The 18,471-nt window shown below is 39.6% G+C and overlaps 1 long non-coding RNA gene across 1 annotated transcript in view; it reads right to left on the minus strand.

Moving 5' to 3' along the window:
* Window positions 1-18,471, minus strand: part of LINC00504 (long intergenic non-protein coding RNA 504) — a 417,705-nt gene that overhangs the window by 165,521 nt on the left and 233,713 nt on the right. The gene's annotated exons all lie outside the window — the stretch shown is intronic.

Genomic DNA, 18,471 nt, shown 5'->3' on the forward strand with positions numbered 1-18,471 from the left:
GACAAGACACCACACTTCATCCAGACTTTATCACACACTAACTCAAAATTCTCAGAGATCTATATATTAGTGGGTATTGGAATCTTGGTTGACTACTGATAAAGCATTTTCTTCCAGTTGAGGATTTGTTTTTATTCCCTTTGTGCATTGTACTCCCTTAGTCCAAAACCTCAGAAGGGAAAGATGGCCGAATTATTCAGACTCCCTTAAAGCCTTCTGAGACATTGCAGAAATCCTACACCCAGGGCAGCCAAAGGCGGTATCAAGAAAAGTACATCGTTAAAACAAGGAGCCAGGGTGCCATGCCACACAAACATCCAAACCACAAACCTGCAGCCACAGATCATGAGGGTTGCTTGTATTAGGAGGACAAAGAAAATTAGACATAAAGGAGACGTAGGAGCTCTGGGAACACAAGCTACCTGCAAAAGGACTGGAGCATATTGTGGGAATGCTGATCTGAGCAGCTGTCATGTGCCCAACCTGAGCTTGTCTCTTTATAGAACGTATTTACTGCTCCCCAACAGCTTTTGTTATCATAGGGGTTTATATGCCCATTCCAGATGTGAAATACAGATGTTTAGAAGAATTAAGTCACCTGTCCTAGAACACACATCATGTGGCAAAACCAACTTTAAACTTTGTCTGCCTGCAAAACCCATGATATTTTTGCCATGACCAGCTATCTCCATCTATCATTCTAAACTGAAGAAGTTGTAGCCCAGATGACCTTTGCAAATTAGTTGTCAGAGTCAGGACAGGAGACTGAGACTTCTGACTCATTACTGGGTCAACTCCAGTCATACTGTCCTGTCTGTTAATGCCAAAACAAAGTGAAGCCCTATTTGGCTTTCAAAACATTGTCTGAAATGTCATGATGGGATTGTTTTGCCATCTCACTTTTAAAGACATGAGCCCTGGAGTCCTACTGACTTGATTTAAAGCATAGCTCTATTATTTGTACTGTGCTACTGGCAAGCTACTTAGCCTTTCTGTGCTTTAGAGTTTGTTATCTATGAAATGGGTAAAATAATAGTGCCTTCCTATCAGGTCTTAGGAAGACTAAATGAGATAATCCATGTAATTAGTTTACCATCATATTAGACATGATGACTACTACAGAAGTAATAATAATGGCTACTATATATGGTGCGGTGATTTATCAGTGCACCATAGACGTAGGTTGTTTTCCTGGAGCTCCTGCTTCTTTTTCATGTCTAATTATTATTTCTGTGCTATTTCTCACTCATTAGCAATAAATGCGGTTTCCCTGAAGACCAGAGGCTTGAGGATAAGGAGAGTGATTATTTTGTCTTCACGATATTCACGGGTCTGTGAAGATACACTTTCCCAGGGCCTTGGATCAGACCTATGTCTTAGATCAAAGCAAAGGACCAGCCTGTGTCTCATGTTCATGATTATTCAACAGATTAGTTCAATATAATATGCCAGGCCCTAGGCTGGGCTCCAAGACTCCAAGGATGAAAATAACAGAGTTCCTTCCTCACAGTTCAGCCAGGGAAAAAAACATCAACAAATGAGGACAATATAGTGGAACAGGTTCTGCTACATTGAGAAAGGGATAAGAGGTAATCTGTTTGCTGATTTAGGGTCCGTGCACAGCCAGAGCAGCTCACCAGAAAGCCTCCTGGCTTGAGGACCTGATGAATCTTCTGGGGGAAACAGAAGAGAATGCTCTGGAGCTGAAAATCAGCCTGGAACACTGGGAATAGGACTGAGAAACAGGAAGAGGTTTCCCTGGCTCTGAGCAAGTCTCTCTTCTTCTCTGAGCCTCTGATCCCTCAACTCCCTCAATGGGTAGATTTAACTCTATATATATATATAGTAGATTTAACTATATATATATATATAGTAGATTTAACTATATATAGTAGATTTAACTATATATATAGTAGATTTAACTATATATATATACATATATATATATATATATATATATATATATACATATATATATATATATATTTTTTTTTTTTTTGAGACAGAGTCTCACTCTGTCGCCTAGGCTGGAGTGCAGTGGTGCAATCGCAGCTCACTGCAAGCTCCACCTCCCGGGTTCACGCCATTCTCCCGCCTCAGCCTCCCGAGTAGCTGGGACTACAGGTGCCCACCACCACGCCTGGCTAATTTTTTTTTGTATTTTTGGTAGAGACAGGGTTTCACTGTGGTCTCGATCTCCTGATCTCGTGATCCACCCACCTCGGCCTCCCAAAGTGCTGAGATTACAGGTGTGAGCCACTAAGCCTGGCTGATTTAACTATTAATGTTACTATAAACATTAAACAGGAACAATTTTTGTCATGTAGCAAGTACATAATAAATCGTAATTTGATGAGGATAATGATGATAACAATATAGTTCAGGGTACAAAAAAAAGAGTAATTTCATTAAAATATTATCTGAATCAGGTCTGGGTTAGTTTCAAGACTCTGATTTTGCTTAAAATCCATTTAAAAAAATGAAAGGTAAATCAGAGAAAAAGAGCAGAAAAGCCTTCCAGACACAGGTTTACAGGACCCAGAGCACACCCTCTTCCTCTTCAGAGTTCAGTAATCCTGTGTTGAGAAAACTAAAGAGAGTTCTAACCCCAGGAAAATGACCCCTTCCCACTCCAAAAAGAGCTGCAGGGCTGTAATAGGAGTCACAGTCCAGGGCCTTGGCTGTATCCAGCGCAGAATCAGCAGCTCTGGCTATGGCCACAAGGCAGACAGCAGAAATCAGTCCTGGAATTACCAGCAGAACATTTTACTAATCACTAGAGAGAATACGTGAATCTTCAGGGACCCTGAAAGGGGAAGGAGGAAAGTAAAGGGATTGGAGTTATAGGAATTATTCTGAGTGTGAGCACAGATTAAAAGGCAACTTTCCCTTATTGTTCTAACATCATCCTTCCCCCTCCCTGGGGTGGCTTATAGAAGTAGCTGTGCATGTGTATGTATGTAAAGAACATATAAGATAAAGCATCAGGAGTAAGAATGGTAAAAAGATGTGCTCAGCTACAGGAGGCAGGGGTGGGATGGGAGTGAAATGAGGGAAGACTTTACAAGAGAGTCACTTTGGACCTGCAAACACCAGCAGACCAGAGGCCACGTAGAGCTGATCCATGGATGTATCTCCAGCACCTAGTACAATGATTGGCACCAGCAGGCAGTCAGTGAATATTAACTGAAAAGCAGATCTCTGAAAAAGAGCAGAAAAGCATTCCAGACACAGGTGTACAAGACCCAGGACATCACCCTCCTCTTCTCCTGTGTCTAACTAACAGACAGGAGAATCAATTACCTAAAATGAGATGAAATTATCTGCTTTTTGCTTTTTGAATGCTCAGAAAGAATCCAAACATTTGCAAAGGCAAGTCTCTTGACTGAAAAACATGTTGGAATATTTTACCTCATATCTCACCTGTGACTTTTAACCCAGTCACAGGTGGGCTGCCTCCTCAGGGGAAGCACTAGCCTTGTTGTATGGACCACAAGTGATAAGGCAAAAAAGGGGAAGCTTCTCTCTCTCTCTTTTTTCTCTTCTCTTCTCTTCTCCTCTCTTCTCCTCTCCTCTCCTCCCCTCCCCTCCTTTCCCTTTCCCTTTCCCTCTTTCTTTCTTTCCTTCCTTCCTTCCTTCCTTTCTTTCTTTCTTTTCTTTCTTTCTTTCTCTTTCCCTTCCTTCCTTCTTTCCTTCCTCTTTTCTTTTCAGACAGAGTCTCACTCTGTCACCAGGCTAAGGGAGGCTTCTCTTTTCAGGGATACAGGTACAAGAGAACAGTGACCCTTTACTTGGGAATCCCACATACAAGCGACAAGTCCAAGGGATGCTCAGCTTTGTCCAAGAATATGGTCACTTCTTTTGGGGGTAGAAACTAGCAAGAAGGTAGTGAAAAAGAGGGACATCTTTTACTCCAGGATGGGCCAAAGCAGAAATATGGAAGGTGGGGCAGGATCCCTTTCCACAGGCTGAACTTGGGCAAAGACACAGGAGAGAGGAAGGTAAAGTAGCTTGGCACAATGGAGCACAGGGGATGTGTGAATGGGGATTGTTGACATGAACCTCAAAGACAGGCATGGGCTGGACCATACTATGCTAACAAATCTGGAATTTATTCTGTAGATCAGGGGATGCAATAGGAGGTCTCAGAAGCTAGAGAGGGGCACAATCAAATTTGATGCTAGAAGGCAAATTTTCATTCAGATTCTTATGTGTGGTAGATGGCAAAAATGGCCACGAATTCTTCCCATTCCTGCATACATACATCTTGCTATGTGGTATGGTATAATCTTCCCCCTCAACTCCCTTGAATGGGGGCTTGGCCATTTTATTTTCTTTGGCCAATGGACCATTAGCAAACATGATGCAAACAAAGATTGACAAGTGCTTGCACATTCAGGCTTTATCTTTCTTGATGCTCTGAGAATCCTGAGATTACTGTGGAAAGGAGCCTGAACTGCTAGAGGATGAGAAGTCATGCAAGGGAGACTGTGGCACTGATGTGAATAGTCTACCAACGTCACCCATGTGAATGTGATCATCCCATATCATCCAGCTACCAGCTAACCTACCAGCTGACCACAGGTGTATAGTCAGGCCCAGAAGTGATCAGCAAGGTGATCCAGACTGGAAGAGCTTCCCAGCCAATACAGAAGCAATGATTTTATTTTTAGGGTTGCCACTAAGCAGTGACAGCTCACTGGTACAGAATGTTCCTTGAATGTGTCAGCTCCTTTGTCTTCATACCAATATAGTGTTGGATGGCAATAAACAGAGAAAAGTAACAAATAACTCAGAAATCAATCTCAGTATTTATTTAAAAAGCAATATATGGCATAGGTGGTCTTTCAAAATATTGGAAAAGGATGTACAACCAGCACAATTGCTTATGCTTCCAAAGAAAATAAGGCTGGATTCCTATCTCACACTAAATGTAAAAAAAAAAGTAAATAGATAAACTATAAAACAGAGAAAATCAAATAAAAAAATCAAGGAACCTTATACAGGCACAGCCTAGGGGTTGAGGAGACCCCAATGAACACAGAAAACCCAGGTGCGATAAAAAAAATAATATTGATATAATTGACCATTGTGATGGTTAACTTTATGTGTCTACTTGACTGGATCACTACATGCTTGAATATTTGGTTAAACATCATTCTGGGTGCAAATGTGAGGCATTTTTTATGAGATTAACATTTGGATCCATAGACTGAGTGCAGCAGATTGCTCTCCCTAATGAAGGAGGACCTCATCCCATCAATTAAAGACCTGAATAGAAAAGAAAGAAGAAAAGAAAAAAAAGGAAAGGAAAGAAGGGAAGGGAAGGGAAGGGAAGGGAAGGGAAGGGAAGGGAAGGGAAGGGAAGGGAAGGGAAGGGAAGGGAAGTGGAGGGGAGGGGAGGGGAGGGGAGGGGAGGGAGGGGAGGGAAGGGAAGGGAAGGGAAGGGAAGGGAAGGCAAGGGAAGGGAAGGGAAAGAAAAGAAAAAAGAAAAGAAAAAAAGAAAAGGGCTAACTCTACCAAGAGGAAAAGGATGCTTCTCCTACCTGACTGCTTGAGCTGTTGATCTTTGGACTGAGACTGAAACATTGACCCTTCCTAGTTCTTGAGAGTGCTGGCTTTTGGACAGGAACTTACGTCATTGGTTCTTCAGGGTCTCCCACTTGGTGACCACAGATATTGAGACATTTCAGCCTCCACAATCATGGGAGCCCATTCCTTACAGCAAATCTCTCTCTCTCTCTCTCTCTCTCTCTATATATATATATATATATATATGTGTGTGTGTGTGTGTGTGTGTGTGTGTGTATTATAGACATAGTCTACATATATGTATACATACATACATATATACATGTGTGTATATATATATATAGTACGTGTGTGTGTGTGTGTGTGGAGAGAGGTGTATACAGAACATATATGTATACACACACACCACATCCTGTTGGTTTTCTCTGAAGAGCTTTGATTAATATAGCCATCAAAAATAAAAAATACTTGCTTGGTGTGGTGATATGTACATATAGTCCTAATTACTGGAAAGTTTGAGGCAGGAAGATGCGTGAGTCCATGAGTTTGAGGTTACAGTGAGCTATAATCACACCACTGCCTTCCGGCCTGGGTAACAGAGGAAGGCCCTGGAGATAGGAAGGAAGGAAGGAAGGAAGGAAGGAAGGAAGGAAGGAAGGAAGGAAGGAAGGAAGGAAGGAAGGAAGGAAGGATGGGAGGGAGGGAGGGAGGAAGGGAGGAGGGGGATTGGAGGGGAGGGAAAGAATGGGGTAGTATAGGAAGGAGGCAAAGAGGGAGGAAGGAAAGAAAGAAAAAAAAGTATATGCCAAAATATAACATAAAGCTAATAAAAAAATAAGATTGGGGAAAATAGCAATGAAGATAACAGATAAAAGACTAGTATCTACAATATGTAGGGTGATAATAGGTTATCACAAATAAAATAATGAGGTCTATATATGTGTACGTTACAGAAGAGAAAATTCATGTGGACGGCAAACATATGAAAAGATGTTCAAGTTCACTTATAAACAGGGAACAACAAGGTATTACCTTATATGCCCATCTGCTGGCAAGAGTTAAAAAGGGCAAAACACTGATTGCTGGCAATGATGGGGGATGTGGTCGCATATATCACTGGTAGAAATGTTGCCTATTATAACCATTTTGGAATCAAAAAGGGCAAAACCTATTCAAATAAAAAAAAAATGGACTTTTGTCCCAGGAAATCAAAACGGGCAAAACCTATTCAAATAAAAAAAATGCACTTTTGTCCCAGGAATCTCTTCCAACCTAGAAATCTCACTTTTGTAAATCTACCCTACAGAAACAAAAGAAAAATTATATAAGGTGTATTTTGCAGCATTGTTTCACCAGGGCAAGAAAATCGGAAACCAAAGTCATATGCAATGGTACGATATGATGGAATAAATATTAGTGCATCCACCTCATAGAATACTGAGCATTCATTAAAAATGAGTTTGAGGAATAACAGTTAACTTGATATAATTTCTATTAAATATTGATAAGAACACTAAGATACAGAGAATTATATAAAAATTTATGATATAATGATGTTTTTCTAAAGTAAACAATTAACTCTCTATGTATTTAGAGATGAATACATCTCTATTTGTTTGTAAATTGTTATATAAGCATTAGTAAAGTATGTATAAAAAGATGCCCTTCTGTTTATTAGCATAGCTTGAGGCAGGGGGCACATGTTTAGCAACAAAAACAGCAGAAATTGGAAATAGAAATAGAAGAAAATGGAAAAACAGATGGCACTTAATAAAATAGCATATATAGTCTAATTCAATTTATGTAAAATTATCTGTTTATCTATAAAATTAGAACAAAACATACATACACACACACATGTGTTTATACATAAATATCTATGTGTGTGTCTGTCTGCTGATTTGTAGGAATATCCCTCCATCAACTGACTATTTTTCCTTGAGGACCTACTAGATGCCAGGTATTTTTCTGAGGGTATAGCAGTAAAAGGAATAGGTACAAAGTCCCAGCAATCATGGAGTAGACAGAGTAATGAAAACATTCTATTTTACTATGTACTTATAATAATTATTCTATACAGATATAATTACTAATATAAATCAATAAAGGCTATGGAGAAAAATCAGTCTTGGAAAAGGGGTACAGAATGTCATGGGTACAGATTATTTTGCAGTTATAAATAGAGTATCTAGAAAGATGCTGTCTGAGAAGGTGATATATGAAAAAAGACTTGAAAGAGCTGCATAAAGGAGGAAGCAGGGAGGTCAGTGAAGAGGCTGTAGCAACAAGGCGAGTGAGAAAACATAGTGGCTTAAACCAGAATGGAGATAGGAAAGGAGGTCAGAAGTGACTGGACTCTGAATATGGTCTGAAGAAAGAGCAAAAGGGATTTGAAAGATTCAGTGTGGCATAACAGAGAAAGAGAGGATTCACAAGATTTTAGAAGGCTGAGCCAGAGGAATGATGGCATTTTCATAAACTAAGATGAGGCAGAGTCCAGGGATAGCCGGCTTGGTGGGGACAGGAGTGGTGAGAACACTAGGAGCTCCACGGTGAACAGGTTAACTTTTAAAAATCTATGAGACAGGCAAAGATTAACAATGATTAGGCAGTTGAATATACAAGTCTGAAATTCAGGCAAAGGTCCTGTTGGGAGGTAGAAATTTGGAATCAGCAATCTAGAGATTTCTAACGTCTTGGTACTAAATGATATCATGAAGAGAATAAGTGCACTAAGGAAAACAAAGAGTCCGAAAACTAAATGCCGGATAATATCCATGATCTGTGTGCTATATTCACATTGCCAAATGAAAAATTCAGGTTTCAAAGTAATATGTGTAATATTCCATTTGGTTAAAAAGTAATTAGACTAAACCCTTACATTATTTCATGTTGGCATATGAATATCAGAACAAGGGGGAAAATGGGAGAGTGCACATGAGGCTATTAACATTGGCTACGCCAAAGGTTTGGAAGTGGAGCAGTCACTATGGAGAGGGTCATTAACTGCGCCTTTATATATCTTCACTTTCTTGTTTATTTTTGCTTGTCACAGCAGGAAATTAATGTAGTTTGTAAAACCTCAAATGAAGAACAAAAATATCAGTTTGCTGCACCCCAAAATAGTAATTTCTGACTTCTCTGCAAGTAGGAGGAATAATAACACAAGTTCTCTGTAAAGTACTGTACAAACACTAAGGCCATATGGGAAGGGTAGAATGGCCTCTTGTGGCTCTGCAGATAAGCAGCATATGAGCCAGAGATTCTGAGGGGGAAACGCATTGAACATTCGCCTTGAGCAACAGCGCAGCTCCAGGGAAAGGTTCAGCTGTCTTTGGCTGTGGTTCACTGAGCTGTAGAAAAGCAGCATCGTCCTGAGATGAAAATTGGGGAATATATACCCATAGGGGCAGGAAGTTTCAAATGGAAAACCTGTGAAGGAGGCAGCAGCAAAAGAAGGTCCCCACATGCTAGAATGTAACTGGAGAAATAATCTATATTTATATTGGCTTCAGGAACAATTACCTCATTGAAAACCGATACCAACTACACAGGATATTGGAAGAAACCATTGGCTCTGGGCTCAACACTGACTTTTTTCTGTTCTGGCTCTGCCAGTTCATTGTCTCACCTATGACAAGTTGCTATACTTCTTTACTTCTCAGTCTCCTCATATGAAACAGTATGATAATAATTATGGTGATAACAGGACTTGCTTTATAGGAGTGTTGTGATTAAATAAGACAATAGTTAACTCAATGCCTGGTGAATAGCAAGCACATAATAAATATCTGCTGTTATTATATTACTACAAATATCTTAGTAAAATTAATTTGATTAATGCTGTGGGTTGAATTGTGTCTGAAGACATGTTGAAGTTAGAATCCTCAGGCTCTGTGAGTATGGCCTTATTTGAAAGTAGAATCTTTGCAGATATAATCAAGTTAAGAGAAGGTCATACTAGATTAAGGTGAGCCTTAAACCAATGGCTGGTGTCCTTGTAAGAAGAGGGAAATTTGGACACAGACACACAGGAAGAAAGTCATGGGAAGACAAAGGTAGATATTGGAATAATGCAGCTACATGCCAAAGGAGTCTAGCAACCCCAGAAGCTAGGAGAGGGACAGGAAACATACTCTCCCTTGGAGTTCCCAGAAGGAACCAACCCTGTCAGCACTTTGATTTCAGATTTATAGCCTCTAGAACTGTTAAACAGTAAGTTTATCTTGCTTAAGCTATCAAATTTGTAATAATTTGTTATGGCAGCCATAGGACATTAATACAGTTAAATATATGAGAACACTTGATGAGCTTTTCGAGCAGTAACTCTGACACCACAGAAACCACTTTGGTCTGAGGATTGATCAGTCTCATGGATTTGGACAAGCTGATGACTGAACAAAAAGTGGAATATTCCTTCATCCTTTCTATTCAGTGGAGCCTTAGATAGCTTAGTGTATTTCATAATAGGTTAAAGAAGACAGAGACTGCCACAGTCCTAACTGGGAAACAAACTCTTCAGATGCATAAGCATTAAATAAACTTCAATGGGACCAAATGAACTGCATTGAATACCAACATAGAGCAGGGTTTTATTGGAGTTCACTATTCTCTATTCTAAACAGTTTGCATTTCTTAACCTATTAATTCATATTACAATTCTTTTCAATAGGAAGAAAGAGCAGTTGATATTATAGTTTTGTTTACTTGTAGTAAAATGGTATTATGTCATGAACTTTGGAAAGTTTCCAACACACAAACAGATCACAAAAATCAAAGAGCCACGTTCCCTTTCTATGATATAGAGCTGTTGTTGGGAAGTAGTTGCCAAGCCAGGGATTATGTTTCCCAACTCCTTTGCATCTAATCCAAGTGAGGTCTTGTTTCTGGCCATTGAAATATGAATAAAACTGACATGTGTCAAAGCGGGACCAAGGAATTTACATATATAGTAAACTTTTACCATGTTCTCTCTTTGCCTTCTTCATGAACTCTAGAAGATGGGCGATGTGTATGGAACATCACAAGCTGGAAGCCTGTATCTCTGAATTATTTGCTACAGTTAGCCCCAGAAGGGCTGCCCCACAGAAAGAAACATTCCTAAACCATCCTGGGATTCTTTTTTACAGCTTTTGGCCTACTCTTGTTATCATTGTTTTTGCCATCATTATAATTATTGTCATGTAACTTTCATATTTAAGAAAAAAGGAACGAACACTGGAAACTCCACTGTTATACTGAAGCCATCCCCTAAAAATACTTCACAGATTGGAAACTCATTACAACGTGTCTAATGTTTGAAGTTTGGGTCAAGAGAAAAATCTTTTTTAAAGCATTTGTTCATTTTCTTTCCAGGCCGCCTCCAAGTAAAGTGACTATTTTTCCCAAAGTGCTTGAAAATGATGTTTTTGTTGAAGATTACTGGGTTTCAGATTATGACTTCAAGCTGTAGAGAGAGAGATAAGGATGGCAGCTAGACCTGGTTGATCAAGCTCACCCAGCCCTTCTGTCTGGGCAACTAATGAGTCATAAACCATTTGGGGGAAATGTCTACATTACTGAGTGGCTAAGCAAATGAAAAATCTGTCTTCCTCAAAACCACAATTTTCTCTAAAAGAGAGAAATAGAGAAATTATTAGTCACAGTGTTGGGTACCATTTTGAAGCTGATCCTTAAAAGCCAATCATTCCTCTCCTAATTTTAACTGATTGAAGCTGATAAGGTAATATTTCCTCAACATTTCACACTCCATTTTCTCCAAGGTAATATCTTGGCTCATATTCGAATAAGTTTTTTTTTCCATGAATCTATCAGCTCGCCATTTGTAGACTCAATATTTGCATCTAAGTCTAGAGAGTTGGAGCAAAGCACTCAGCACAATTCATTGCATGATTAACTGTAACTACTCTATAAAGATTGTTGCCTTTTCTCCTTATCAATTACCATCCACTGTCACAATTACTTAGTTCTGCCACTGGAACATGACAACAGCCATGGGCAACTTGTAAATGAACAGGCATTGTTATGTTGCAATAAAACTTTATTTACAAAACAGGCATTCTGAACAGCATTTCAAAGATAGAGAAAAGCAAGTGCCACAAGCTGAAGGCATTAATGTGTGTGGCATTGGCATGTTCAGAGAAAAGAAAGACCAGCTGACCAAAGATTAGTGAGCAAGAAGGAAAAGAAGTGTATACTAAGAAGTCCAAGAGATATCAGGAACCAGGTAAAGCAGGGATCTGTAGGCAATGATCTAGCTTTAAGTCTACATGTTTTTGATGGATTAGATATACAGTGAGGGAAAGTGATAAATCAAAGCAGATTACTAAATATTTTACTTGACAAACAGGATCACCTATGGTGGGGAACAGAGAATTTGGGAAATTGAACTCAAAAATTATATTTTGGACACCGCATGGTAGGCAAACCATTTTTCCTACAAAATGCTGCAATGGCAATTAGTGATGCATTTGTTTAGTCTTAAATTCTGGGTCTCATCGTTCTTGGCCTATATCACAGCTTGGTGCCATAGAAGAGTGGACTTTTAGGGAAGACAGAATTGGGTTGAAATGTCGCCTCTCACAAGGTCTGGCTGTGTGAACCAGGAAAGTCATCCTCTCTGAGCCTCTGTTTCAACATCTGGGATATAAGTTTACTATTGTCCACCTCAGAGTTATTTTGAAGAAAAGATTTTAATTAAGAATACGGCATAAAAAACCGGGCATGGTGACAGGTGCCTGTAGTCCCAGCTACTTGGAAGCCTGAGGCAGGAGAATCACTTTGGAGGTTGCAGTGAGCCGAGATTGCACCATTGCACTCCAGTCTGGACAAAAAGAACAAAACTCTGTCTCATAAATAAATAAATAAATAAATAAATAAATAAATAAATAAATAAATAGAAGACTGTGGCATAAAGTACATGCTCCATAAAAATTGTTTCCCTTCCTTTATTTATTCATTCAGCACATTTTTATTTTATTTCATTTCATTGTGAGACAGGGTATCACTCTGTCACCTAGGCTGGAGTGCAGTGGCATGGTCATGGCTCACTGCAACCTGGACCTTCTGGGTTCAAGCGATACTCCCATCTAAGCTTCCCAAGTAGCTCGGACCGCAAGTGCACACCACCATGCCTGGGAAATTTTTTGATTTTTTTGTAGAAATGAGGTCTTGTTATGTTGCCCAGTCTGGTATCAAACTCCTGGGCTCAAGTGATCCTCCTGCCTCAGCCTCCCAAAGTTCTGGGATTACAAGGTGAGCCACTGCGCCCAGCCTATCTATTGCATTTTGTGCTAAGTATATATCTGAGCACTGGTATAAGATGTGAGCAAGACTAACAAATCTTAGTCCTCATAAACCACAGATACAGATCTGTGAATAGATCTGGATATGGGTGTGGATATGGATGGATATAGATATAGACCATTAGTTCTCAACTAGGGATGGGTTTCCTCCCACGAGGACATTTGACAATGTCTGGGATGATTTTTAGTTGTTACACTAGCAGGAAAATCCTATTGGCATCTAGTAGGTAAAGGCCGAGGATGCTGCTAAACTTGCTGCTAAGTACTGAACAGCCCCATCCACAACAAATGATTATTAAGTTCAAAATGTCAATAACATGTTAAGAATCTGATATTGTGTGTGTGTGTGTGTGTGTGTGTGTGTATGAGACAGAGAGAGAGACAGAAAGAGAGTTAAAAACTATAAAGAAAAGTACAAAAAACAAAGTAATAGAGTACTATGGGGGCTACTTTATGTACAAATATCAGGTAAGTTTTCCTTGAAGAGGTAAGCCCTGAATAAAATGAAGGTTCTCTTTGTAATATCTCAGACAAGATTTTTCCAGAGAGAAACTAGGGCTTGTAAACTGTCTCTCATGATAAGTCTTAAAAAAAAAAAAAAAAAAAGAATAGTCTGGATTCCAGCCATAAATGTGAATTAAGTTTATCATTAATTTTTGCTTTAATCTCCAAGGATTTATGTGGTTCTTTATTTCTCATACTGTGAGCTATAATGATAAAGACAAGGATATTACAGCTGAATAGACTTAGGACCAAAAGAACAATCCTAGGTTCATAATTTTTTTAATTTTAATTTTTTTGAAACAGGATCTTGGTCTTTCACCCAGACTGGAGTACAATGGCATTATCATAGCTCACTGCAGCCTTGACATCCTGGGCTTAAGAGATCCTCCCACCTCAGCCTCCTTAATAGCTGGAACTACAGGTGGACATCACCACACTCAGATGATTTTTATTTTTATTTTTAATGTTTTTTATTTTTATGTTTCCCAGGCTGGTCTTAAACTCTTGAGCTCAAGTGATCCTCCTGCCTTGGTCTCTCAAAGTGCTGAGATTATAGGCATGAGCCACCACACCCAGCCCATAATTCATTTTATAACCTTAAAAACTCTCACTTAATATCTTGCAACCCTGGTTTCTTTACCTGGAAAAAAAAGAACTGATAACAGAAAACACATAAAACATGGTTGCTTTGAAAACTAAATAAAATAGCCCATGAAAAGCACCTATGTCATTGTCTGACACACAGGAATTCAATAAACAACCATCCTTCTACCCAATTGTCTTGAGAATGGAGACATTTTGTCTCTTTTAATTACCACTTGTAAGTACGTGAGCCGAAAATCTCAGAATCATTTTTGACTTTTCTCTTTTTTTGAGAAAAGTCCCCTCTAACATTCTCCCTTTGAATTAGTTCCAAAGTCATACAGATTTAGCCTTCTTGGTAAAAGTAGATCAGTTTGGAATTTGACAATTTAGGCCTACCAGGAGCTCACCCAGGGAGCTGTCCAGCAGGGAGTTAGAAATCCAGGATAAGAATATTGAAGACAAGCTAATTCCCATGTCAGCATTATAGGAAGCATCCACCTTGCAGCAATATTGGAAAGGACAAAATCTTCAAGGAGAGTAAAGATGATTGAACCTTAGGGAAAGATTTCATGTGAAGGAGAATGCCTATCAAGTTGGTGGGATAACCCAGCCAATGAAGCTTCACAAAAGCCAAAAGAATGTAGGTAGTCAGCAGAATGAGATGTGTCGGAGGGGGATAAGGATAGAATAAAAACCACTAGATTTCCTTATTGCAAAGGCACTTCCAACTCTCTAGTTAGCCAGTTTAATAGAGCTGTGTGAATGGAATCCAGATTACAAGGGAATCCATTGGAACATAATGTCATATAGGCCATATATATCTATATGATGTTTTCAAGATGCTCATAGCAAAAGTAAGTAGAGAGAGGGGAAACATCTTAAAAAAGAGGTGGAATGGTGACCTAAAGCAGAAGTGAAAGTATTCGTTTGGGCAAGCAGTGGAGGAGGAGCAATGGAAGAGAAGTGGAGATATGGACGAACTATGAGAACTCTCACCATATCTCATCTTCTTTTTCCAATGAGGCAGCAGATGAAGATGATCAATGATTAGCAAGCAGCTGAAGAGTTTGGATGGCAATTTAAAAGATATGCAATGGTTGCTTTGAGAATATGTCAGAACCCTTCAGAGATCAATCAAGGGTTGCTAAGCTGTGGGCAGAGCCTAGCTGAGCTTACAGAGAATCAACTTGTCATGAATTTGACTACCACACTGTAGCTATCATCAGCAGCAGTGGTTGGCACAGAGCATAGCAGAAGCCAGTATACCAGAGAGTGGATGACCTGGATTAGTACATTGAAAGAAAGAATGTAAATTAAGAAGGTTAAAGTTGAAAGGGAAAATATCAAAATGGTAGCAGGCCACAGAGTTGGTCTGCTCTTTACTGTTCGGGTTGACTGGGAAGGCATGAGCAAAGAAAAGAATTAAAGGAGGAGGGTAAACTTTAGTCAGTTACTCACCAAACACATTTTACATCTACCATATATGGGCTGTAAGTGAGGCAAGGCATTTGGGGCCACAACTTTGAGTAGAACACAATCTCTGCCTTTTACAGATCTCTCTGTAAATAGAAAAGAGTACTAATCATGACGTGGGCTATCTTAGAGAGCATCCAATTCCAAGGGAAAGAAAGCCTTTGAAAACTCAGTAGGGGATTTGTTATCAGGATAATGATACATTTCATAGAACCAAAGGGCTGGGAGTACAATTGGTCTTCAGTAAGAATTAGATACTTCCTAGGAAGTTCCAAGGAATCAGAGCATCTACCCTTTCAATTTCTATTTTGAGTCTTATTATCTCTCGTGTCTTTGAATCTTCTTTACCTGGAGATCTGAAGTCTGGCTTTCTCTACTGTCTTGTATCTTCTTAATGCTGCTTTAGCAATCAATGCTTTACCAAGTTAAGCACCCAACCAAAAGAGTATATGCATATGTACTAATACATATGTTTATGTATTAGTATATGGGTCACCATATACTAACATCAGATTCTAGGGAGCCAACATGATTGCTCAACCTTACCAAGAAAGTGTCTCCCTCTGAGTCAGATGTTCACCCTTCACTGAGCTATGCAAGGGTGACAGGATTACCTTGTTCAAAACATGAGAGAATGTAGATGGGGCAGAGGCTCAAGAGAAAAAGAAACATTCAACAGGTCAGACACTCAGAGGGGAAATGTTGAAACTTTTACTTTTTCTCAATACAGAACAGCAAAGGCATCAAAAAAAGTATTACACCTGCCAGGTATTAGAGATGTATTACATGCCAAGCAGTAATGTGCTTTAATGAGGTAAAGGCTCAGCCTGAGGTTCTTGGAATTGGAGACTAAGGCAAAGGCTTGCATGGAGAGTTCATTTAGGAATGTGATCCTAGGCAGGAAGAGTGAGGTTGGGACATAAAATAAGGAAGGAAAAGCCAACTGGCCATCAATCCTGAGAGACATTTGAATGATCCTCATGACATAGTTCTCAAAACTGTCTGCTTGGAGAATAAATGGGTAGAGCACTTATTCACCTGTTCCTGCCCTCATTAGTCAAAAATTGCCCCACATTGTTACTCTCCTGAAACTTCCAGGTAACACATGCACAGTGCATCCCAATCTTCAGCGTCAGAGAAAATACAGGGCAGGAAGAGGGAAGTATTCAGTGCAGGGCTGGATGAGATGCTGTCAGGTTGCACCTGGTGAAATGGGTCCAACCTGCATAAAACTGTGTTCTGTCTAGAAGTGGTTACATAAAAGATAGGGCCAAGAGAATAAGCAGCTGTTTGCAAGTGGATTCCTGGATAAGTAATGTCGAAATGTAAACAGAATATGAGATCAGGCTGCCCTTGTCATCTGTACTGGATCTTTCATCAACGGTTTCCTCATATGCTGACCACTTATGAAGCAGGGTGCTGGAAAGTAGGTGTGGGAGAGAGGGATAGAAAGAGGGAGAGGGAGAGGGAAAGGGAGAGGGGGAGAGAGAGGAGGGGAGAGAGAGAGAGAGGGAGAGAGAGAGAGAGAGACAGAGACTGACCAACCAAAAGGGAAGAAAACAACTATTTACTGATTCTCTATTTGATAGCACACAAATTTTATGCTGAATCACATTCATTTCTCCAAACAGTGAACAGCTCTTGGATTTAAATATTCAAATCTCCAATTAAAGATAAACAGAATGACACTCAGGTTAGTTGAGTAATGTGTACAAGGTCACACAACTATAATTAAAATCTAGGTGAACTCCTCCATGATTTTTCGTCCAAGGTTAGTTAGACACAGTCTCTACCTTCAGGAAGCTTGCATTCCCATAGAAGGGAAAACAACATGCAGATGTTAGCAGTCACAACGTCCTGCAGGATCATTGACCACTGACCAGGAGAAAGCCAGTACCTAGACTTAGAGTTTTCAAAGATTGGATAGATGTGCTTCAAAATAATGATTATGCCTTAATGCTAGATGACTTTAGGAAATCTAGGGTACAAAGCACACCAGACATATATAACTTTGTTTTCCTTTTTTTGCTACTATAGAACATATTTATTAATATTTTGAACAGGTTCAGCTACCGGTAATTTTAGAAAGGGAAGTGAGGAGGAGAGCACATGTTCACCTGATGAGCCCAGCTAAGTTGCTGCCAGGCCGGAAACCTTGGCAGAGTGTCCAGATTAGGACCCTGGAGGCAATGAAAACAGCAGAGAACTTAGGACAGAGAGTTCTGTGTCTGTTAATAGGGCACTTAGTCACTTGCAAGGTTAAAATAGCCTACTGGGATTCTCTGTTTTCATCTAGAAATTTAATATTTGTAACACACTTTTCATGTTATTAATAGTAAAATAGCTTCTTACTATATTGTCTTCAGAGGATACACAAATGAAAACTATTGGGGCCACTCAGGACTGTAACTATTGCTGGTTTTTCAGGTGGAGTCATGCCAAAGCAACGTGAATTATGATAAAGCCCAGGGATACTCTGCTGTGTCAGAGCTCACAGTTGAGGTTAGAGAGTATTGCCCCATCATGGACCCAACCATCATATTGTGTGATCTTCTCCGGCAATAGAGTCTGGCAAGGAGCAAAGCAGAAACTAGTAAACTTGAAAAAGAAAGATGCTGGGCAAGATCATTGGGAAGTTAGGTTGAAGAATCCAATCTGAGCCTTCGTGGCCATACGTGGTTCCATAACTATATGGTGAGATCTATTTGTCAAACACTTTCATTTCCCTCCATTCCTCCAACTATAAACACATGTATATGCATACACACACACACAGGGATGAACACATTTAAATAACACTGCTGGTGGGAATGTAAATTCATTCAGCCACTGTGGAAAGCCACCAACATTTGTCTGGTGTTTTCTGAAAGAAGTTAAGACAGAATTGCCATTCAACCCAGCAATCCCATTATTGACTATATACCCAAATGAATATAAATCATTCTACTGTAAAGATACATGCATATGTTCACCACAGCAGTATTCCCATTAGCAAAGCTAAAGAATCAACCTAAATGCCATCAGTGATGGACCAGATAAAGAAAATGTGGTACGTGTATGCCATGGAATACTA

This window comes from Homo sapiens, chromosome 4 (assembly GCF_000001405.40).
Source record: "Homo sapiens chromosome 4, GRCh38.p14 Primary Assembly".
NCBI classification, from domain to species: domain Eukaryota; kingdom Metazoa; phylum Chordata; class Mammalia; order Primates; family Hominidae; genus Homo; species Homo sapiens.